This window comes from Homo sapiens, chromosome 2 (assembly GCF_000001405.40).
Source record: "Homo sapiens chromosome 2, GRCh38.p14 Primary Assembly".
Lineage (NCBI taxonomy): Eukaryota > Metazoa > Chordata > Mammalia > Primates > Hominidae > Homo > Homo sapiens.
In genome coordinates, this window is record NC_000002.12 from 8,302,297 (window position 1) to 8,325,944 (window position 23,648).

General features: G+C 44.6%; 1 long non-coding RNA gene across 2 annotated transcripts in view, besides 3 other annotated features; it reads right to left on the reverse strand.

The window, feature by feature from the left end:
* The window catches only part of LINC00299 (long intergenic non-protein coding RNA 299), a 320,649-nt gene that overhangs the window by 294,526 nt on the left and 2,475 nt on the right, over positions 1–23,648 (reverse strand). Inside the window, exons 2-3 of one of the 2 annotated variants that reach the window (NR_152741.1) lie at positions 22,246–22,388; positions 10,430–10,553 (exon numbers count right to left, since the gene is read on the reverse strand). This is a non-coding gene — a long non-coding RNA (long intergenic non-protein coding RNA 299). The remainder of the gene's footprint in view (positions 1–10,429; positions 10,554–22,245; positions 22,389–23,648) is intronic. The other variant, NR_034135.1, reaches the window with a different exon arrangement.
* Positions 36–95: an enhancer, noted in NCBI's record as "active region_15253". NCBI's record gives its function as "activates an Ori minimal core promoter by ATAC-STARR-seq in GM12878 lymphoblastoid cells {active_cell/tissue: GM12878}" and the evidence as "EXISTENCE:reporter gene assay evidence [ECO:0000049][PMID:35858748]".
* Positions 1,582–1,801: an enhancer, noted in NCBI's record as "active region_15254". NCBI's record gives its function as "activates an Ori minimal core promoter by ATAC-STARR-seq in GM12878 lymphoblastoid cells {active_cell/tissue: GM12878}" and the evidence as "EXISTENCE:reporter gene assay evidence [ECO:0000049][PMID:35858748]".
* Positions 7,141–7,280: an enhancer, noted in NCBI's record as "active region_15255". NCBI's record gives its function as "activates an Ori minimal core promoter by ATAC-STARR-seq in GM12878 lymphoblastoid cells {active_cell/tissue: GM12878}" and the evidence as "EXISTENCE:reporter gene assay evidence [ECO:0000049][PMID:35858748]".

Here is a 23,648-nt window from a genome sequence, read left to right on the forward strand (position 1 = left end):
ATTTTTCATTAGGGCCTGCAACTCACAACCACGTCCAGTGTCAGCTGCCTGAAAGTCTTCCTAGAAACAGAGTCTGAGATGGAAATTGCATGCAGAGTGCTGATCAGAGGGTGTTCTCGGGAGATTCTCCTGTAAAGAAGTGAGAAAGGCAGGATGCTGCAGAAGCTGAAGCTGGCTGCAACGAGGCTACACTTGGAGCCACCCCCAGCCAATCCTAAGTGGCGCTCTCGAGCTGGGACGGCCCATCAGAGTTGTCCCAAGTTGAGGCAAGAGGGCCGAGCCTTTGCGTTCCTTCCTCGGTCAGTTTCAGAACCTGGGGGATATGACCTGAAAAGAGGCCATTCCCTGCAGCAGGAGGGGGCATCCAGTGCGGGCTCTGCCATGGCCATCATCAACTGTCACTGCAGCTAGCGGGGAGACCTGGGCAGAGCACCCCAATGGTCACTGCAGCCGAAAGAGGACTGCTTGTCTTTCTGCTCTCACACCCCTTACCTAGGGAAGAGCAGAGAAAGGGTTGCTTGAATGGGAGGAATAGCAAAGAGAACAAAGAAATCCCAATGAGGGGAAACCTCTCAGCGCACCAGCCTCACTGTGTGCTGAGAGGCACCCACTGCCTTCCCTGCACTCCTTAGATCTTGTTCATGGGTGGTTGTTTGTTGTTGTTGTTGTTGTTGTTGTTGTTGCTGTTTTTAATGTAAGAAACAGAATCTTGCTGTGTTGACCAGGCTGGTCTCAAACTCCTGGCCTCAAGCGATCCTCCCCCCTCAGCCTCCCAAAGCACTGTGATTACAGGCGTGAGCCACTGCATCCAGTCTCATTCATCTTTTTGTACCATATTCTCTGTCCCACCACTCAGAAATATCTCAGGTGCTGTACTAGTGCCTTACACATCCTGGACCCTCAGTGCTGTCTCAAACTCCTGGCCTCAAGCAATACTCCCCACTCAGCCTCCCAAAGCACTGTGATTACAGGCGTGAGCCACTGCATCCAGCCTCATTCATCTTTTTGTACCACATTCTCTGCCCCACCACTCAAAAATATCTCAGGTGCTGTGCTAGTGCCTTACACATCCTGGACCCTCAATGCATAGCATGGTAGCACCAAAAGGTGTGAAATACAGAAATGAAATCATTAAGTGAGTCATTCATACCCATCATGGTTATTTATACGGTAATTTATATGGTCAAGCTTGACCGTCTTGGAGGGCTGCTGTCATCACAAAGCAGAACAAGGCCCACCAGGACACCCTGACCTCGTGCAGTGAGCCGGCCCTCAGGCTTGCACAACAACAACCCCCAAACACTGGCATGTTCCCAGCTGAGCCAACATGCACCAGACCCACCCAAACGTGGCCACATCGGAGCCATCTAGAAACCGATTTGAACACTGCTTCTTGTGGTGAGGGACAGGAAACCAAGAGGACACAGGGGGCCGTGTCGAGGTTAACAGGGAGGGCTGCAAGCCCAGATCTCTGGTTTCTGTTCCTCTCCAGCGTTCATCCTCTCCTACTGTTGTTAAAAATCAAATGTAAGATGCAGAGAGCCAGTCCAGGCTGTCCAGAGGACAGGGCTGAGCCTCGCTCCCCACTCCATTCCCAGGGCCTAGCACAGGGCCTGGCACAGAGGCCATATCACAAGTCAAGAAGGAAATCTTTCCTTTCTGCCAACCCTGGATCTTCCCAGAGAGGAGCCCTGTGTCCTCTTGAGGGCAGGATGGGTGGTCAAGGCAGGGACGCGGTAAAAACTAAGGTCGTACACCAGCAAGCTATCGACAAGCATTTAGAAAGCTGTGTCTCAACCAAGATAGTTATTGCAGCTTTATTTGTGTTATCAATAGTCAAAAAAAGGGGGGGGGGAAGACAACTTACTCTGAGCCCTAGGGTGCCTTGTCATAGGAGGTTCTGGGGGTAGGTACACAGTTACTATTTATCCCATGAATAAAAGGGTGGATGGAAATAGGCCAGGAGTTGGGGAACTTCACACAACAAAATCCAAACTGAATGATGGTGAGCCAAAACACAAAAATAACACAAAAGACCCCAAATTGTTACTGTATTTAGAAATAAGACCCAAATTATTATAAAAAATTGTCAGATTGCTACAAGGCAATTTTTTGGGTGCTATAAAAGGCCTCTGGCCCAGGGGCCTAACAGCCTCCTAAAAGAGGATATCAGGAAAAGCAAGTCGCTAAATAGAAGAAAATAAAAGAAAAGGAACTCGTCAGTCAAACTGCATCCTGCCTAGCAGGGAATCCACACACTCAGGGAATCTCAGATCCCAGGACTTCAGACTGAGATGGACTCGGTGTCTCTGGCCAATGAGAACCAAAGTCCTTCACACATCATGCTCCCTGAGACAAGAAAACGTAGGTATGCTTTAGGGGAAGAACAAAAACAGACAAGGGCAGTGGGAGTTTTGATTAGCATAATCTTTACAAATCCTTGCTTTGGAATTCCAGCTTGGCCACCTACTACATCATTTGGGCAAGTTTCTTAACCTCCCAGAACCTCAGTGTCCTCATCTGTAAAATGGCAATTATGAGAACGCTACCTACTTCATCACAGTGGCGTAAAGACTTACTAAGATAATTCCCGTTAAGTGCTTAGCACGTCGCCCTCCAAGCAGTCTGTTATTTTTCTGATGTGTCAATGTCACCATTCACCTGCTGTGCAGTTTTGAGCAGATGATGAACGCATGTGTCCTCCAGGAGCTCCTTCTGCGACATCCCCTAGGCAGCCCGACATGACTCAGCAACACGGTGCTAGGGCCAGATCCCTGGCTAGACACCGAGGTGTGGGGCCCTCGTCTCTGACCTGCCATTGAGCCACAGTGTGAAGCCTAAGCAAAGCCATTTCTCTAGGGACCTTGGCTTAGTTTTCTGGTAAAATACAAGTTTCATTCTAGGTGTTCTCTCAGCTATCTTCTAGGATGTTTTGGAGTCTGTGCTTTCATACAAACACAGGCTCATGCTGGAGCAGGGATGGCCATGGACATCCTTAACTCTCCTAAGAGCCACCCACGGCCTCCCAAGTCACCTCATCAGTTGTCCTCACAGGGAGCCACCCTCTGGGAGTATTTATATCCCTCTACTTTGATTACAGCTGATTAGTAAATTTACAATGTGTTTGAATTTCACTAGACTTACATTTCACAACAGAGAGCAAGGTTTAGTCAACACTTTCATTTGCTAAGGGCAACCATCCAGGCTTAATAAGGCTTTCCCTAAACAGACACCTTCTTTACAAACTTCTAGGAAGCCAAGTGTTAAACAAAAGTCTAACTTGAGACTTTTCTCTTGATTCCTATTATGGGCATTTGCAGTTTGCTTTGCAATTGCATTACCAAGTGCACACTTGCGCACATGCCTGGAAACGTGCACACACGCACAATGGAGCAACGTCCCAGTGTGACGGTTCCTGCTGGCCAAGAACAGCACTGGGTATTTGCATGGGCAAAGACTTTAACAGCGTGAACAGGATTTTCTGAACAAGTCTGGAAATAAAATACCTACCAGCTTTCAGAGTAAATTACCAAAAAAGCAAAGGAGAAAAACAGTTCTTCCAAAAGACAGTCATCTAACCTCCTTACTCCCTGTGCACAAATTACCAGGCTTCCCAGAATCCAATCTTAGGTGAGATGAGGAACAATGGAAGGTATTTACAAGTTTAAAAAATATCAAATTTTTGCTTCTGGACTCCCATGCTATGATGTCACTACCTTGTTGCACTGGTCTGAGAAAAAGAATTATATCTCTATGGGCCTCAGTTTCCCTGTATGTGAAATGAGAGTTTCAATTAAGCACTATCTCAGATCCTTTCTGCCTTCAAAATCATGGGAAATCTCTGTAACAGATTTTTTAACCCATGAGAGGCCTTAGGGTCACTATGAGTATCTGATAAACAGGTGGGCCTTCCCTCCAGAAATATAGACAAAGGCTCATAAACACAGAGAAGTTTACACAGAATGTGAAAGAGGATTCAGAGAACCCCTGAAGCCTGTCCCGGAGGATGGGTTTAAAACTCTCAACTCTGGAGGAGATGTTGAAAGACAATTTCTCCAAAAGAGAGGGAGAAGATACAGTAGCTAGGGAAGTCTGGAAATCTGAATTTTTAATTTAGAAATAGATATTGTGGTTTTGTTGTGAGCTTTGAAAAATTGAGCCATGATTCTGTATAACGCCTCTAAGACAAAGATAAGATGTTAAAGCAGGTTCGTGACCATGGTCAGCTATGGAAGCGGTACACAAGGCCAGTTAGCAGGGTGGAGTCAGGTTCTGAGAGATGAGGTGGTATGGGAATGTCTGGGGCTGTGGGTAATAAGTTGAGCTTTTTCCCAGATGTTCTCTCCATGTTCCAGAGAAGGTAGAAAGCTGGCTACCGACCAAATCTGATTTTGACATTCCTGTAAGATAGTGCCAAGCACTCAGATCTCATCAGCCCCGTGTCAGAGGCAGCAAGGCACCACACCATGGTTGGATAACCCCACATTCAATCCATTTTACTGAAAGCAGCACAAATAAACTAAGAATCAGAGCACTCAATGACTCATATCAGAGGTATGAATTGAAAGTCAACACTTGTATATAATCTAACTGAAGGAGAGTTTATAGCGCAGAATTCTCTCTGTTGGAAAGAAAAACTCCAAATGCGTGTGTGTGTATATGTGTGCACACTCACTATCTTACACAGCACTGCTCATTCTAAGAAAATGAGAAAGGAGAAGAGAAAGCAACTCAAAACTTTTGTTTGATTTAGAAACAAAATTAAATAATAATTGTCAAAGGTATCGCTGGAATAATGATATTAAAAGAGTGATTCATTCTGGTATATTTCCAGAGACAATGTTTACCAGGAACTCCCTACTCCCTCTGTACCCATCACTCAGCATGATATGTTTGCCCTGGCTTCAATTCTCTTTTTCAAAGGAACATTTTGGAGTGTGCAGCTACCTGTACCTCTCTGTTTAGTGATGATGCCACTCAGCGCTGTGTGTCAATTTAATACATGGGAACCTTCATCCCCTACTAGACTGTAGTAATATGTTTACAGGCCAAGGCCCTACACTCCTTGTTGGTGTAGCCCCGCAACACCTAGTGCGATGATTGGCATATAAGTGTAGCCCCACAACACCTAGTGCGATGATTGGCACAGAGGTGATCGTAAGTGTTGGTAAATTACATTAAAAGTTCGCTCTGGGTCAGGCGCGGTGGCTCACACCTGTAATTCCAGCACTTTGGGAGGCGAATCACCTGGGGTCAGGAGTTCGAGACCAGCCTGGCCAACATGGCGAAACCCTGTCTCTACTGAAAGTACAAAAATTAGCTGGGTGTGGTGGCAGGCACCTGTAATCTCAGCTACTCAGGAGGCTGAGGCAGGAGAATTGCTTGAACCCAGGAGGCAGAGGTTGTAGTGAGCCGAGAACTGAAAGTAAGGTAGTGGCGAAAACCCTGGTTGTGAGGCAAGGCACTGAGTCCTCATTTTGCCGCTCACTAGTTGCTTTAACTTCGAAACTTCTTTTAACTTCCACCAGCCTCAGCTTCCTTAATAAAATCAAGAGTCTGGATCAAGTGTGAAATCCAAGTCCAATTTGGTTTTATCTTCTATGTGGGATTGTTACCCAAGGACTCAGCTTCAGAAGTGACTCACCTGAGCTCCTGCCCATCCAAGTAATTGGAGTTTAAAGACACAGGCAACCCTTCAGGCTTACGTGCTGGCTCTGGGCCTTGTCGGTGCGTGGGTGGATGTATGGAGGCTGGCTTCCCTGTTTCCAAGTGCCTTCTGATTTACATGGAGCCTGAAACCTATTCTGGAGGCTATCTGCATTTTAAAGGCCTTTTTAAATGGTCTTGTCTGAGGATTGCATTTGAAACTTGCACTAAAGGCCCACGTTGCCTTAGAAGAACCTGCGCTTATCAAAGCTCACAGGTAGTGAAATGGCCTTTATTTGGGGAAGCCTTTAGAATCCATTACAGTCATTGGAACGTAGGCTCTGGGGGGGGCTCTGGGTGGAGAAGCAGCTCCACTTTCCTGAGACCACTTGAATGTTGCCAACAAGTGAAAAGAACGGTAGAAAGAAGGGAGAGAAAGGAAGGGACACAGGTGGTCAACCTCCGGAGGTCTGTTCCTCCCTCTCGACCGAGTGATCCCAAAGGATCTCCCAGAAGCCAAAGCAAGAAGCTTTGGTGGGAAATCAGGCAGCACGGTCATGGAAAGGCGGCCTGCAGACTCAGGGTGCATCTCCTGCCGACCTCAGGGCCCTGCTGTCTGGCTCTTCTGCCTCAGGGCGACTTCTCAGTTCTCTCTCCTCCTGGGCGGGGTCTTCCCTGACCCCTCCTCTACCCCCCACATACCATGCCCTTCCCTGCCACCAGGCCTGGCTCTCCTGAATGCCTGTCTTGTCTGCATTGCTGCGTTCACCTCATTGCAAGATGATGATCTGTGTACATTCGCATCTCCCCTATTGGAATGAAGTTTCTTTGAGGCTAAAAGTTGGTGTCTGTATTTTCTGTACTTAGCACACAGTTGGCACACAACACGAGTTCAACAAAAGACTAACTGAATGAGTGAACAAATGAATGAGCAAAACTGGGAAGGTGGGGATGACCCAGGAATACATTTATCCAATAAACTCTTACTGAGGGCCAACTCTGTTGCTAGACTGAGGGGACAGTGGGACTCACAGGGTGGCGGGAAGACAGGGATGTTCTCAAGCTTTGCCTCCTCTCAAGAGGCAGGCACCCTTCTAGAACTTACTGGAGTGCATTGCAATTCTGAGTTCTGTGTCTATGTCTTTGGTCCCCCAGCTAAATGACCCAGCATGGAAACAAGGCAGCAAGTGCTGATGAGGGTCACTTCTGGTCCACCGGGTCATGCTTTGGAAGGTCCTGTCCTGTAAATGATCAGCTTCCCCTGGGAAAGAGCTGAGAAGCTGACAAGACTGGTGACCCGGGAGAAGGCAGCAGTGTTCTAAAAAGGAAAGCTGTGATCTGTGTCAGGCCAGACCCTCTAGGACAGCCAACAAGATCCGGCATGCTCAGTGTGCAGAGGGAACAGGACATTGACACAGCTGCAGAGACGGCCAGAGTGTGAAGGAAGAAGCTGCAGCAGGAACCTAGGAGGTGGGGAGGCCCGGCAGGGGACTGAAGCCCCGGCCAGGGCCAGGGCAGGATGTCTGTGCCTGATCTGCTCTGTCTTGTTCCAGCCTCCTGGGACAACTTACCACGTCTGAGGTCAGGCCTATGACAGTACAGTGGGATAGAGTCTGAAGTTAGCACATCAGAGCCCTGACAATCCTTTCTTTCACCCTAACACCCAGAACACAAGGGGTCTTGAGTATTTCACACTGTAAAGCATATGTGTCCACATATACATAGATTTTGAAACTGGACTGCTTGTGTTCAATTCTGGCTCTGTCAATTACTAGCTATGAGACCTTGGGCAGATTACTTAACCTCTCTGTATCTCAGTTTCCTCACATGAAAATGGGATAATCATAGTATCTACCTAACAGAATTGTCAGGATTACAAGAGGTAATATATGCAAGTCACTTTGAATAAGCCCTGGCACATAGTCAGTGCTATATATGTTGTTGCTATCACAATTGTTAATATTATTTATATATTAACATATAGTTATAGAAAGGGGGGCATATGCATTCTGATTTTATAGTGCTGTATATTAAATGCTGACAGGGAGAGAACAGTCACCTGGTTAACATGGCTATGTTAAAAGAGGGGGACTTTTACTCCATCTGAAACCAAGTGGCAGAGAGCGTGTGGTGGCAATGGGGTGGGGGTGGCTGGGTATGTCTGCATTCCCTGGATAGAAATTTATAGCGAAATGGGTGGCAATCATTTCTGGTTGTTAGATTACTTATCTGACACAGGGCTAACAACTAAGAGTTGCTGAGAAAGGCAGATGTAGTTTAGAGCAGAAGGGCACGGGATCCCACTCCTGAGTCCTGCAGTAAAGTGGCTGTGTGTGGCCTGGTCAAGCTGCCCACTGTGGCTGGGACTAGGGTTCCTCCTTTAAAATACAAGGGGACTTAAACTAGAAGCGGCGTGGAGAATGACTAGCACCCCAGCTCAGCACCCTGGTGGCTTCCCATAATTTACTCCTCCAACTTCTCGGCAGCTCCGAGACACAGGCAAGTGGACTGAGCAGCTTAACTTTACAGATGGCGGCAAAAGCGTGGCTCTCATGGGAGGGGGTGACCTATCCTTGAGCTCAGATCTCTTGACCTCTGGGGTCTAAAAAATTACCAAGACAAGCCTGGGGGAGTGGGCCCCAGAGAAGGAGGGTGACCCACAAGTAAACAGGAGAAGTGGGGTGTCTTTCTAACTAACCCTCTTATCAACGTTCCGAGTATTTGCCCTCAAATGGTTAACCAAAGTGACACCCAAGGCAGAAACGGGCCTGGAAAGGTCCCTGATGCACAGAGGCTGGTGTGGCGGGAGGGTGTGTGGGAGGAGGGGAGGAAGTGGCACTCTGGTGGCTTTGTGCAATTATTTTCCAAGACTAACAGGATGCTGTTTTCTTCAAACAAATCTGATGTCCTTGTGCCCTATTGCCCTTGATTTAGATCAGTTTCAAAGACAACTTCCCCCAAGGTGATCCAGGCACGTGATGCTCCTTTTAAATTGTCCTTCAGAATGCGTTTGAAGTATTGGTCCTTGCTAGTGGGTACATTTTCCTTGGCCCAGCTAACTATCAGGTCGTTTTCAAAGTAGTTTCTTTCAAAAGTAGCCCCTTTGAAGTAGTTTCTCAGTAGACATTTTGGCATCAAACTGTACAGACATTTATGTAAAACATCACATCAGCCACCAGGCTGCTTCAGAGGCCGAAAGCAGCTCAGGGTTTATCATGATCTAAGTGTCCTAGCCAGTAAGTGAGAGAGGGCTCCCAAAAAGGCAGAACAGAGACAAAGGTCGAAAAGCAAAGCCATCTCACTCCCTCGGTCACTTGCCCACTCATTTCAAAGAGGCATAAGGAGCCCCAAATCCACGCTACCTCTATTCTAGAGATGAATGAGGCACAGTTCCTGCCATCAAGAACTCTGCAGAAGGAAAGGAAAGGCTGACACCAGCCACAGTGTTGAGAGGGAAGTGCAGGACAGGTTAGGAGGCTCCGGAGGGCAGAGAGGCTATTGGCTGAGGCTAGAGGAGGCTTCTGGGATGGATCCTGGAAGGATAAATGGGGTTCCTCCATGTGCTCTATCTCTAGAATGCAGTGGCTTATCCAGAGGTGTGCTCAGTTGAAAAAAATAAAACTTGATTTTCAATGTTTGCCAATTTCCTTGTTGTAAACACTCCCACCTAAGAATAGCAAATTTTAAGTTACCAATGGAGACCAACGTGACTTCACTGAACGCAGAGTTGGGAAGAGACAGGCAGTGGCCACCGTGATATAGTATGTCACCCTACAGACAGGAGGGGCATAGAATACCTTCAGGAAAATAGATCATAGCAAAATCATTAGGAAGTGATGAATCTGAGTATTTATCACCTTTGTTTTTGCTACCGTTTTGTTGTAAATTTTTAAAATTTAATGTTTAATAATGGCTGTGTTTAATAACCAGCTTCCCAGGTTCCTCAAAGTGTAATAATCAGCTCTCACAAACTGACACAAGCCAGCTCGCACACTCCGGGCTATTTCTTCACTCACCTCTACAGCTGTGGTTTGAGCTACCATCGCATCTGCAGGAATGCGACTCTATCCTTCTGCTCGGTCTCCCTGCCTCAAAAGCAGTGGCTACTCCTCCCATTGTACCCTGCTTCCAACCCATTCTCCACAGGGTAGCTGTGGGAATCTTTCTAAAAGGCAAATGTGACCCCACCATTCCCCTGATTGAACCCTGTGATGGTTCTCTGTGTTTTTTCATTCTCCCCGTGGTGTGGACCCCTGCCCATGCCCTGAGTCCTCCCAGCCCCACCTCCTGCTCTCTACATTCACAGGACCCCAGGACTCCCCTGCCCCAGATGTCTGGAAGTCCCTTCTCTCATTCTTTATGAGAGGCAAGCTCCTGCCTGTCCTTTCAGATCTTCACTTAGATTTGACTTCCCCTGGGAGATACTGGTTGGCCCCTGAGATCAGAGGTGGTGCCTCCTCTGTGTGCTGGTGGGGTCCTGGGCTCTAGCCACAGAAGCACCTGTCAGCTACATGTTGGTGAGATGGTTTTATGGCACCTGGCTCAGCGCGGGCCCTGATGCAGACAGTCCAGGTGTGACCCCTGGCTCTGCCATTCACTGGCTTTGTGTCCTCTGAAAAGCCACGTCACACCCCTAAGCCTCTTTCTTTCCCTGTAGAATGAGGACAGCAGCAGCCTCTCCCTCCTCCCTCGGAGGGTTATTTTGAGCCTTGAATGATTTCATGTGGATTGAGTGCCTTGAACATGGGTGTATTGTCAGTGTTAAATACGAGTTAACTAATACCTGTTTTGTCTCCTGTGTTTGCCCCATGCCTGATCCCCATGCCGGTGGAGGCTGTTTCCATCTTTTGTCTGTGGTCTCCATAAATGCAGCCAGTGTTGAACACCCAGTAGAGGATCAGGCACTGCTGAAATGGAAAATTCAGAGAATGAGTGGCCCATGGAAGGCAGAAGACGTGGGCCCGCCTGCTGAGGGAGAGCAGGTGAGGAGGCCAGAAACCTATTCCTCACAGTTTTGGAGGTTGGAAGTCCAAAGTCAAAGTCCAGCAGGTTTGGTTTCTGGTGACGGCCACCCGCTGGCTATGTCTCCACATGGCCAGAAATGTGCACCTAAACTGAGAGGCAGGGAGCTCTCTGCTATCTCTTCTTGTAAAGACACAAATCCGATTAAGTCAAGGCCCCACCCTTATGACTCATTTAACCTTAATTACTTCCTTAGAGGCCCCATCTCCAAATACAGCCACACAGGCGGTTAGGGCTTTAGCATAGGAATTGCAGAGACACAGACATTCAGTCCATAGCAACCCTCCTGCCCTAGACCCCCTGGCTCTGTATACAGAGAGAACAACACTGTCCTCCCCACATTCTCTGGTGTGAAGAGGTGAAAGGGAAAATCATTTCATCAGCACTCCACCTAAGCCAGCTGCTCTAGCCACGGCTGCTAATGACCAGCTAAGCGTGTCCATTGCTTCTGGAGCCTGAGAATTTGGTTTTTTTGTTTTTTTTTTAACAGGGGACCTTATTAGCTGCTAACTGCTGAGATGAGAAATTGTGGTCAGACCATTCAGGTGCTCAGCCTTTCAGCTGAAGTCCCCTCCCAGGGGCCTGCCTCTGCCTCTGCATACTCAGAATTTTCCAGCCAGTTCAGTTTCTGTCAAGTAATTATTTACAAATTAGATTCCCAGGGAATACATGATAAGAGAATGTAAGCATGGCACCCTTAAATCACAACAAACTATTGCTCAATAAAAGACAAACCATTAATCCAATAGCCAATGCTAGAAAACTCAGGGACCTGCCACAGTACCAGCCCACAACTGAGGCATTTATCACCACTTAGTCTTCCTGAGTACAGCTGAGAATTTATACAGGGACAGTGACAGATAGAGGCTCTCTAGTCTAGGGCATCAGTACACAATACTTTTTTTCAAATCATTTTCTCAATTCAAAATACCTGAGCACTCTATAAAATATGGGAATTATTTATCTGTGGTTTCATTAAAGCTATCATAATTGCTTGTTTTAAAGCATGTACTATTGCTAGGAATAGGTTACGTATTATGACATATCCTGCAAAATATCTTCAAATAGCCAGTCCCTCTGCCTCCCTAGAACATGGCATATGTTATTCAATGTTACGGATGTTCCACTGGAAAGACTACATTTACCACCCTCTCTCTGGCTGGGTGTGGCCATCTGAGCTCTGGCAAAGGCTGTGCAAGATGAAATGTATATGTGGGGGTGAAATGGCAAGGCGGGGGCTGCCTCATGAAAGCAGAAGGGAAGGGAGTGGCACTCTTTTCCCTCTTCCTCTTTTCTGCTCTCTGAAATATGGATGTGATATCTAGAACACCCACAAATATCTTGACCATGAGATAACCTTGAGATATAAGCAAGCCATGAGCTAAGATAGTTGAAGAATAAGACAGGAGGGGCCTGAGTAGGGGTGACCATGCCACGGTCACCCAGCCATCCACAGCTTCACAGAGAGAGTGAACTAGCCTTTGTGTCATCAGAGCCTGTGTTCGTGAGGTGTTCTGTGATGTGCACCCGCACCTGATCCTCAGTGCTGCCATGCCCATGTCACGCTAGGGTCCATAGCGGGCACATTCATCTGAAACCCGGAGCTCATTCACAGACAGTGCATTTGTGATTCTTTCACTGATTCACTCACAAATTATTTGCTGAAGCTCTGTTTGCTAAGCTTCCAAAAGCCAATTCTGTCCCCTAAAGTTTCCAATCTAGTTCAGACATAAAATCAGCCATTATGTGGTTAAGAGATAAGGCAAGACGCCTCAAGCAGGACGACTCTCCTGTGCTAGAATTGTACCAGGGTCAAAATATTGGAATTGGATATGGCTAGTCTTTTTCTTTTTGAAGGTCTTCAGGATAGAAATTTGGGAGAGAGGTGGCCAACAGGGCAATGCGTGTGCGTGTGTGTGTGTGCATACCTGTGCTCTTGTGCATGTGAGGATGTTGGAAGATGGAGAAGGAAAGATAGAGAAACAGAAGAAAAGCATGGGACGCTGCAGATAAATGCAACCAAATTAACATTTCCTCCCAAAGTACCATGATTCTTAACATTTACATCTAAGCACTAACTTATCTGCACTTAAGGGTTGTGAAAACTCTAGCCTCCATAGCAAAAAATTTAGTATAATAGCTCAACTCCATATAATTTTATTATTTCCAATAAAAACAAAATGTTAAGTATATAACTAAATAGAATTGAGTTTTTATGTTTATGTAAGACTCTTCGCATCATTAGACTCACCCATCTATAAACTGCATTTTCTACCATGGCCCCAAGTATAAAAAGGATGATATGATTACCATAATCTCAAGACATCTACACAATCCTGGGAAAAACCCAAACAACTATGAATCTCCCAGTGGGGGAAAGGTCATTTTGATATTTCTCTGATGTTACTTATTACTAAACTCACAAATTTCAAATTATAGTCATATTATTTGAAATTATAAATATGATCTGCCTAGAATAAGCCCCACTAACATGTGAGCACAGCTCGGAGGTAGAATCAGCCACATCATGTACTTTACACTGAAAATTCCACTCTTTTTCAAGAGTGTGTTAATGGCCTCTGCCTGCAAGTGTGGGCCCATGTGCTTTTTTCCAAAAACCAAAATGACAATAATTAAACCAGGCAGCTGCTGCCCCTAGCAATATGACAACCTCTCCCTGCTCCCTGGAATTTGCTGGAATCACCCTACTTGAGCTCATCCCGTTCGAATTAGCTGCTCTCTCCCTGTGCCCTGGCGATCTGGGTGAGTTTCCCATCTATTAGCTGAATTATTCAGATGTTTTCCCACAATGGCCCTAGCAGTCCTCATATAACTAGTTTCTAAATCAACAGTGAATTACATTATTGACAATCTGAGCAGATTAATTAAGAAATCTGTCAGGAATGACACGATGAGAGCTGGCTCCTGTTCAAGGCGGATCCGCAGTCTTCAAGACAGAAGTACGCTTGATGTGGCTTCAGAAGTGAGGGGTGAGTAACAGCAGCAGACCCAGGCACAGGCCACACCCACTGGGCTTAGCAGGACAGCCAGCATGGGAAGGCTGGGCTGGAGGTAGTAAGTCTCACACTCACACAGCTTCACAGGGCTGCTGGCTGGCTTGCATCAACTAAAGTGTAGGGCTGAAAAAAACATTCTGTGAACCCTCAAGCACTTTTTCAATGTGAGCTATGTATTGTTATTCCCATGCACAGACCCTGGGTGACAGAAACCATCATAGCTATGTCAGAAGAGGCTACTTTGCTTTTAAGCTTTTAAATGCCTGTTTTGGGGGGCTCTCAGGCCCCCCAAAAGCCAAACATCCTAGAAAATCCATTTTGGTGCCCAGCAACAAGAAAGCAACTTCTGTTCTATATACATCTATTCCTTCATGCATTAGTCCATTTTCACACTGCTATAAAGAAATGTCTGAGAGTGGGTAATTTATAAACAAAAGAGGTTTCATTAATTCACAGTTCCACTTGGCTGGGGAGACCTCAGGAAACTTAACCATCATGGCAGAAGGGGGAGCAAGGCAAGTCTTACATGGCAGCAGGCAAGAGAGGGAGTGAGCAGGGGAAACTGCCACTTTAAAACCATCAGATCTTGTGAGAACTCCCTCACTACAAGAACAGCACAGAGGAAACTGCCCACATGATTCAATCACCTCCCACCAGGCCCCTCCCTTGACATGTGGGATTACAATTCCGGATGAGATTTGGGTGGGGACACAGAGCCAAACCATATCACTTCATAATAAAATTATAGTTGCTTTCTCCAGAGAATCTTGCAATCGAAACCCAACATAAATGCAAATAAATAAATAAGAATTAAAAATCAGAATATCACAGAGTTCTGTTTGATCTAATTGATTTAATTTGAGGATTTTTTTTTGAGACCCTACTAGATCCATCAGCAATAATTTTGCAAATTTTCAGTGGATAACACAAAAGTTGTAAATTCCGAAGTCCTAGGTTCAAGTTTGAATGAAGCCCTCAGGAACTGGGTAGTCTTGGACCTGCCACTCCCAAAGCTGAGTGTTTCCACCTGCAAAGAAAAGATCCCTGCCTCCCACGCGGCTGTGAGGATCAGGTAGAAAAATGTGTTTGAAAGAGGGATTGGCTGATGTGTTATCCAACACACAACTTAAATATCTCATTTCATTTAATATTTACAACAACCTGCAATAAATGCATTATCTCTGTTTTAAGAATAAGAACAAGGAAGGTGAGTACATTTTTCAATATCAGAGGGTTGCTAGTAGCAGAGGCTGGCCCTAAGCCCCAGGCATCAGGCTCCCATATGAGGTTAGGGGTGTCCTGGGGAACTTGGGTTGTAGCTGAGCTCCAGAGGGTGAGTCAAGGTTTTCAGGAGAGAGGGAACATGGTGAGGGCAGGAATGCTGGAAAGGAGGGTGCCCTGGGCATCCTGTAGAGGAGCCACTGTAGGACCGGGGTGCTGTGTGGGGTGCATGGTGTGTCTGAGAACCAGCAAGTGGTATAATGAAGCCAAGTGGTGCCAAAGAAGCCAGGCAGAAGGTGAAAGAGAGGCCATGACAATTATCCTAATAGCAACAACCACAGCAGCAACCTGATTGACACTAACGAGAATGAGCTGGGGGTCTGATGGCGTTCAGGGTGTTTCACACATGCTAATTAACCCAGTGCTCCTTTCACCACGTGATCAATGAAGACAGTGAGGCCGAGAGGGGTGACGTCACTGGACACTGGCTATGAAGTGGACTTTGAGGGCCTGAAGGACAAGAAGAAATGTGTGGCCCCGAACAACAAGAGACCATCATGAGAAGGGCAGATGGCCGCGTGAGCAGTGAGCTTCGCATCACTGAAGCTTTCACGCAGGAGTTAGAAGAACATTTTCCTGGAATGCTGTAAAGCAGTTCTGACATCTTATCTCTTCTACCTCCAGATTCTGTAAGGTTCAGAATTGGGATCAGTCTCCTGACCTGGTGTTCTTAAAAGTTCTCATTGTGCACACCCAGTCACCTAACAGAACCTAGGGCAAAGAAGAGTGGAGTTTACTGATACCAAAAATGGGAATAAATTAAAAGGAATATCTTCCTAGATCAGAGATGAGACTGTTCAATCCATGATGATATGCAGTTGGGACACGGTCAGGAATGAAAAGAAGCTACAGAAATGCAAGTCAGGAAGAGAGACCTTGACCAGAAGGAATGAATGCAGATAAGACTGTCTCCAAAGACTCAGAGCAGGCCAGGCACAGTAGCTCAAGCCTGTAATCCCAGCACTTTGAGAGGCTGAAGTCGGTGGATCACTTGAGCCCAGGAGTTCGAGACCAGCCTGGGCAACATGGTGAAACCCTTTCTCTACCAAAAATATAATAATTAGCCAGGCATGGCGGTGCATACCTGTAGTCCCAGCTAGTCAGGAGACTGAGGAGGGAGCATCACTTGAGCCCAAGAGGTAGAGGTTATCGTGAGCCATGATCTGCCACTGCAATCCAGCCCAGGCAACAGAGCAAGACCCTGTCTCAAAAAAAAAAAAAAAAAAAAAGACTCAGGGCTGCCTGCTGGACCTGCTTGGACCTGCAGGGTGGGTGCTGATTTAGGACAAGAATAGGATCAATTCGAGGTGCATTCTAGAAGCTACTAGTCTACAGCAGCCTCACATATCATCACTCACTGCTGTTTGCTTGGAAATCTGCAGTCTTCAGTTCCACTACTCAACTGAAGCACGCAGAGCTCTGGGGGTTCCTCTCAGGGACAGGCTTGGGGCATCAAGCATCCTTTTCAAGCATTCCCCTTCCCCCCAACCTCAGCCAGAGCACAAGTCTCTGATTAATTTATCATATTTGGTTTATCTTTGAGACTGTGTTGAATAAAAGGGTTTGGCTGCTTCTGTAGACTAAAAACGCTCTCCAAAAACATTAAAGACTGTTTTTAACCTACTCTTTAAAACACCTAATTCTATGCACTATGCTGAAATATTTTTGGGGGTGGCAATGAAGATTTTCACAAAAGAGTGTCCTGATTTTCCCGGAATTCTTAGATTCTAAAATTCTGCATTTTCTGACATTCTGATTTCCTACTGCCAATCAAAGACTGACAGTCCACACCTGCCTCTTTGCCCCAGGTTTTCTGTGGTAGAAACTTCCTTTCCTTAATGAGCTGGAAGAGTTTTTGAAAACATTAGAAAGAAGGAGACAATATTAAAATGACAAAGCCTGTGAGTAGAAAAAATTCAAGACCAGAGAATAGAAGAAAAGCTGCTTTAGTTACTGAGAAATTCTCCATGAGGTAGCCAGCCAGAGGGACATAGAGTGGTGGAGATAGCCACGTTCATCACATGAAAAGCCAAACCCCTCCATGAACCTCCCCAAGCATATACCTGTCTCCAGGCTTACGTAGTGGAGACTGAATCATTCCTTAAGTTGCTAAAATCTACCTTTAAAGGTTCCTGAAAGATGTTGCAATCATTCTGGGAAATAGATCTATGTGTCATTCAAAATGAGCTCATCAACATGATGCATAAATTGGGCACCAATACAAAGTTTAATATTTCAGAGTAAATGGTGAATCTTTAGGAATTCATCTGTTTAGAAACCAACAACTGACTAGGAGGATACATTATTTCTTTTGATGGGCTTTTCACCTATATTATCTCATCTAATCCTTCAACAATTCTCAGTGTAGCTGCTATTATCCCCATTTTATAGAAACAAGAACTAGGGCTCTGCAACGTCACATGAGCTACTTGCCCAAGCTACTGGTACTTGAGCCCAGGTCCTCTGATTAAGCATCTTGCATTCTTGCTCCTACACTGAAGGCTTTCAAACAGTGGCCCACAGAGACCCCAAACTAACAACAGCAGTAATAATAATGATCCTAACAGCCACGACAATAGTTCACACGTATTGAGTACTTAATATGGACCAGCCAGTCTGTTGAGTGTTTTAGACACCTTATCTTTTTAACTTTCTCCGGAATCCCATGAATAATTCCATCACTTGACCAAGGTCACACAGATAACATGGGGCGAAGCTGAGCTAAAACCCAGGAGGCATCAGGTTGACCCACCAGCACCTCTCCTTCCATGGGATACATCAGGGACCATTTCTGTGGGTGGGAAAATGAGAGGTGGGCACAGTGGCAGGTCTTGGGGCTCCCAATTATTCCTTAAACGGACCAGCTCTTCTTTCTGTCTTGGGATTCCATGAAGGCAGTGATAGAGCAGAGGGTCACAGTAGGGCTTCAAGGTGACATTAGCCCTACCTTCTCTGGACTTACACAATCTCCTACCCAATCACCACAAATGAACACATCCACAAATTAGAAACAAGATTCTTGCTATGCAAACACAGGTGCAAGGCAAGTCCCCAACCAAAGGACTCATCTTCACACCCAGGTACCACTTGAGATTTCATTTAATGAAAGAGTTCTGTGGCAAGCATAAATAATTTACTTAAAGTTTCCAAATGGCTGCAGTGGCAGCCAAGCAATGGTATTTCTACTGTTCCAAGAGGGGGTGATTCAGACTCTTGCTTCTCAAAGAAATAGCCCACAGACTGGCAGTGTCAACCCCATCGGCCAGTTAGTTAGAAACTCACAACCCAGTAGGTTCCACCCAAACCGATGAGTCAGAACCTGTATTTTAATAAGATCTCCATGAGTTTTGCATGGAGATGAAAATTCGCAAGATAGAGCTCTAAAAGACCACCAAGTAAGGTGATTTGAAAAATGGGACAAGATTCTAAAATTTCCAAGTGATTTCCAGCACTGACTTGGGATCTCTCTTCTCCATTATCCATTTGATGAAGGCTGTGCCTTCAGAAATCCCTCAGCATTGGTCTATTTGTCCTCATTAACATTGCATAGTTCATCACAGACTTATCCTGGTACAGCGCTTGCCCCTGGGAGTGGAGCAGAGGCCAATTATGGTAGCCTCACACAGAAGCATATGACTTTCTTTTAATCCTCGAGTGGGGAAGTGAAGTCATCTTTGGAGGTCTGAAGCTGCCAAAGATGAGAAACTTCTTTTATAATAAAACCCAGAGGGAATTACACCTTGTTTACTTTAAAAGTTTTAAACAGAACACATGTGCACTTACATTCGGAGTCCATGGAGAGGCTTAATCATATTTTACATGAAGAAAGACCTACTCACAGTACCCTGGGCAAGTTACATAGACTTTCTGAGCCTCAATTCTTTTCATCCATAAAATAGAAATAATAATAGTATCGACTTCACAGCATTGATTGAATATGTGCAAAGTGCCCAGAACACACAATAAGTATGTATATGGGGCACACGTGCGCGCGCGCGCGTGCGCGCGCGCACACACACACACACACACACAGAGAGAGAGAGAGAGAGAGAAAAGAGTTAAAAGTTAGTGTGTTATTTCTGCACAGTTAAATTCCAGAAGTAGAGCGGTTATTATTTTCTTCCTTACACTATTCTATATTTTCAAATTTTCTACAATGACTACTTGTTATTTTAATAATCAGAAAAGATAATCATTTTTAATGAGGATGATATGTCACTAGAAATGGCTAACGGAAAGCCATGACTTCTGGAAGGCTGGTGGTGGAGAAGCTGTGGAGCATAATGAGAAAAGCACAGAATTACCACATCATGACCTTGCCACTTCAGGGCCATTATATCTTGACCAAGTCGCTTTGCCTCTCCAGACCTCATTTCATCATTGGCAAAATGGAATCACAACGTCTTCTCTGTAACTCCACTGCATTTCTAAAAAGGTCAAATCTGATCATGTATATAATGTGCTTTCTGTAATATAAAAGGCCTCCCTGTTATTATTTCTGTATTATTATTATTATCATTTATGGACAGAAAACATTAACACTCAAGAAAAAATGTATTCACATTTTTTACTTTATATGAAAATGTTGACATAGATTATATCCATTCTTTTAGGAATATTACATTGGAGATGAAAATAACATGGGCCCCTCCTTGGAGATGAAAATAACACGGGCCCCTTCTAATATGGTTGAGTTTTACTGATATTCATTTATCTATTAAGACAGGTTGAACTGCTTTAAAATACAATTGATTAAACAAAAAACTTAACCAGTGATGTGGAGAGTAAGAAAACATCCTCCTCATATCATTCTTCCCAGTTTTAAGATGAAAAACTACAGACTGTTGAGTCCAGACTGGATGGGGGTTCCTTCACTAGGAATACAACATACTGTTGAGAATTATTTTCCCCTGGGCAGTTTTCCTTGGTCCTGACACTTTCTTCTTCAATCCTTGGTCCTGACACTTTCTTCTTCAATCTGTCCATCTAAAATATATTTACCCTTAGCAAGTTCAATCCTTTTCAGAAAAAACTACAAATGGTCATGTCAAATAATCACAAATTTATTTATTCTAAATATTATTACCACACAAACCTGCAATGTAAAATACTTTCTAACCTCGCACTCCACATTAAATCAAAACATATTGTGCAGACCCTTCTTAATTTATGACCAAGAAAATGCAGCTAGAAAGATGGAATCCTCTCATTTCAGATGATTCTATAAACGAAAACGAGAGGTTTGTCATTAAGTGGTATTGATGATACCCACAGTGTTCATATGTTTGTCAATTTCATTAACCTCTCAAATTAGGTATTCATAATGTGTTAATGACAGTGTAACACATCACTACATTATTCAATGTAATTTCGTGGATATTATGTATAGTTTGTAATGTTAGAATCTCTTGTCTTTACAGCTGTTAGAAAACATTATACTTTCCAAGATGATTAGGGGACATGTGAATACCAAACGGCAGAATCCACAGCTCAAACAATGGTCCCTGCTTGGCCTTGAATTCTGATCACGGTATGACTAGACAGTTTCCCCTGACAAAGGACTAAGCTCCCTTTAACGTGTTATACAAGAACTAAAGAATCACAAAGCTGACAGACAGCTTGAGAATTTGTCAATTAAATTTCTTCCCTTCAGGCTAGTGGTGATAAATTGAATTATTATCTATCAAACAGTCCCTCCCTCTCTCATTGGAATAGAGCACACTTTGCTGCCCCACTGACTATTGAGGGGATTGGCCAGTGTCTTGTTTTGGCCAAGGAAATATAAGCAAACCTGATAGGAGCAAAGGTTTTAAATGTGCTGTCATGGCTGGTTTGTCCTCTTGCACTCCTGTAATCCAGCATGAGAAGAACATGGCCCAGAGAGCCCCTTCCCCTTTAGTGTGGGCCCCAGAATAAGCCCCCTGGAGCAACCCTGAGCCTGAACAGAGCTTGGAACAAAGCCTGCCCGAGCCCAATAAGATTAGCAGAACCTCAGCCAAACCACAGACACACGGCTAGCTAAGAAACACAAATATTCATTACAAGACACTGAGAATCCAAACTTTTTTGTTACACAGCATTCTCGGGGCAATAGTAGACTCATACAATGGCAGAACTCTTTAACTGTTCTGTTAAACTGACAGCTGTTGCAATAGGATCATGGAATCTTCCGAGCTTTGATTTCAGAAGACAGCATTTTTGTCTCTTTCACTAAAATCTTGGCACTTATACAAAATGATATTGGGTATATCACTTAACTTTTTGTGTGTACTTCAGTTTTTTAATTCATCGATAAGTCAGTCACTCACATACATTTTTTAAAGTTATTGTCATGTTCGTTCATGTTTATTATGCTAACCACTACAAACAAAATAGGGAATAAAATTGACATGTGTTTTTTGTTTTGTTTTGTTTTTTAACTACAGGTACCGACATTCTATAAAATGGGTATAACTCCCGGTCTGTTAACCTCATGAGGTAAGTGGAAGAGATTATAAAAGAGAGAATGCAGTAAGATCATCTTTGTGAAAGTACTATAAGAGTTGAAAGCCATGAGCAAATTTGAGGGAATTTTATTTTGAATTTTTAGGATTTTTATTGTTTGAAATCTATCCCAAATTTTAAAAGATCCATGATCCCGCTTATGATAAGTCTGTGCCAACTCTAAAACAGCTATTCTTATCTTCAGCTGCAGGAAAATGGAAATCTTCATTTGTTTCATCAAATATTGTATGTGTTTGATATTAGCCAAGTTCTGAACCCAGCGTAAGAAAACTAGGAATCCCTTACTTCATCTCTAAGGCTATTCGAGAAAAGATGAATGAATTCTTCCCTTCCAATTTTTTCAGATTTATTTATATTTTTCGAATTTGTGTGTGAATTGATGCTAATTCCTTCACTTTGGCGATTGTTTAGTAACAAGGTTTAAAATGGATACATTTGAATGGCAGGACTTAGGTAAGTGGGTGTCAGTGAAGCGAGAGACAGCCCAAGGATCATAGACAAGTCGACTCCTAGAGCAGAAAGACACTCAAAGCATCACCCAATCAAACCCCCACCTGCATATGCGAAAGCTCAAACCCAGTGGCTGCAGGACCACACTTCGGAAGAGCAAGAATGACACTGGCAGCTCTCTACCACAGTCCCATGTCCTCACTTTAGTTAAACTTTACAGAGAGTGAAACAATCAGCTAAGAAAAAAAACCAACAGGCAAGTATCTTTCATCTGCAATGCTCAGTTCTGGGTTGGGAGATGGGTAGTAGAGATGTATATACTTACCCAGAAAGCATTTCCAGTCTCTAGGTGATCCGATCAGCTCAGCCAGGCAGCCTCCTTCAAAGTTATCACGTGCTTTTTCTCTTTGAACCATCGAACCCAGCAGTCAGTTAAGGGCCCCTGCAAGGCGCTTATCTTGTTTCTGGCTGTTGGGGTAATGATGTGTCACTGACAGCTGTTGCCCACATTTGCTCCTTCACTCTCCCTTCTATGTAAACATAAAGATGCAGTTCGCGTCTGTGGAGCACCCTCTATCCTCTCACTATCCAGTGGCTTTGTTTTCACTCTCTCCTGGCCCACCAGCTGTATGTTAAAATAAAAGTAAGCGACTTGAAACAGCCCTCTCTACTTCTTTGCATGTATTTTACTTCTGATCTTTATAACTCTTTGAGGTATCCATTATTATCCTCCTTTTACAGATGAGGAAATCAAAGCTCAGAAACCAGCTTGCCTAGGGTCCCACGGTTAATAAATATCTGAACCAAAATTCACATCCAGATCTGCCTTCAGAACATTTCCCCTTAGCCCAAAGGCACACTTCTTAACAACGGAAGGAGCTCCGCAGCCACATGGCTTTTTCTGCAGATGAATCCAGCTGGTCCTACTTCTAAAACCCACAAATATCAAATGAAGCGGGAAAATGAAAACTGGGAATTTCATTTACATTTCACTCAGCTCTATAGTGTTACCTACGCTGATAAAGCCCTTCTACATTTCCTCTGAAAAGGAAATCAAAATGTTCTTTGTAATACCTGAAACTCACCCAAGATCTTGTCATCCTGCCTCGCAGCACTTTAAAGCCCCATTCGCATTTGCTGGAAAGTATCTCTTGGTTATCACAGTTTAGAAAGAGGCATTAATCTCACTAAGCTACTGGAGGGGTGAGTTAGACAAGCAACCCAGTAAGGTTTAAAAATATATATAAAGCACAAGATGTTCTTATATCTGCCAGTGACAGCATGTTCCTTGAGACTCAGAGAAGAGGCAAGGGAGACAGCATGGGGAGACCATGGCCAAGCTCAACCTAGAAGAGAATTAGGGGTGAGCACTTAGTTAATGACTGCAAAGTGCTTTGAAAATGAAAGTGTATCTTAATCCCAACACCTGCCTGGTAAACCGTGGTTTTTCCCGTCTTGTCACCCCAGAGTAGTGGATGGAGTCAGCCAATGCTCTCCCAAAAAAGCCAACAGTGCTTGTCACCACCTTACATGGTCCTCTTGCCTCACCCAAGATGACAACATATTCAAAGTGGAGAAAGAAGTCCTTTTTTGCATCAACTTAAAAATAATAATAACAGTTCTGCTTCCACTGCTTAAGGCCACAGCAATCTTTCTCTCGTGGGGAGTGAATGATGGAGCTCAACTCTGTATCCATAGAAGAGGTTAATTTGAGCCACTTAAGGCTGC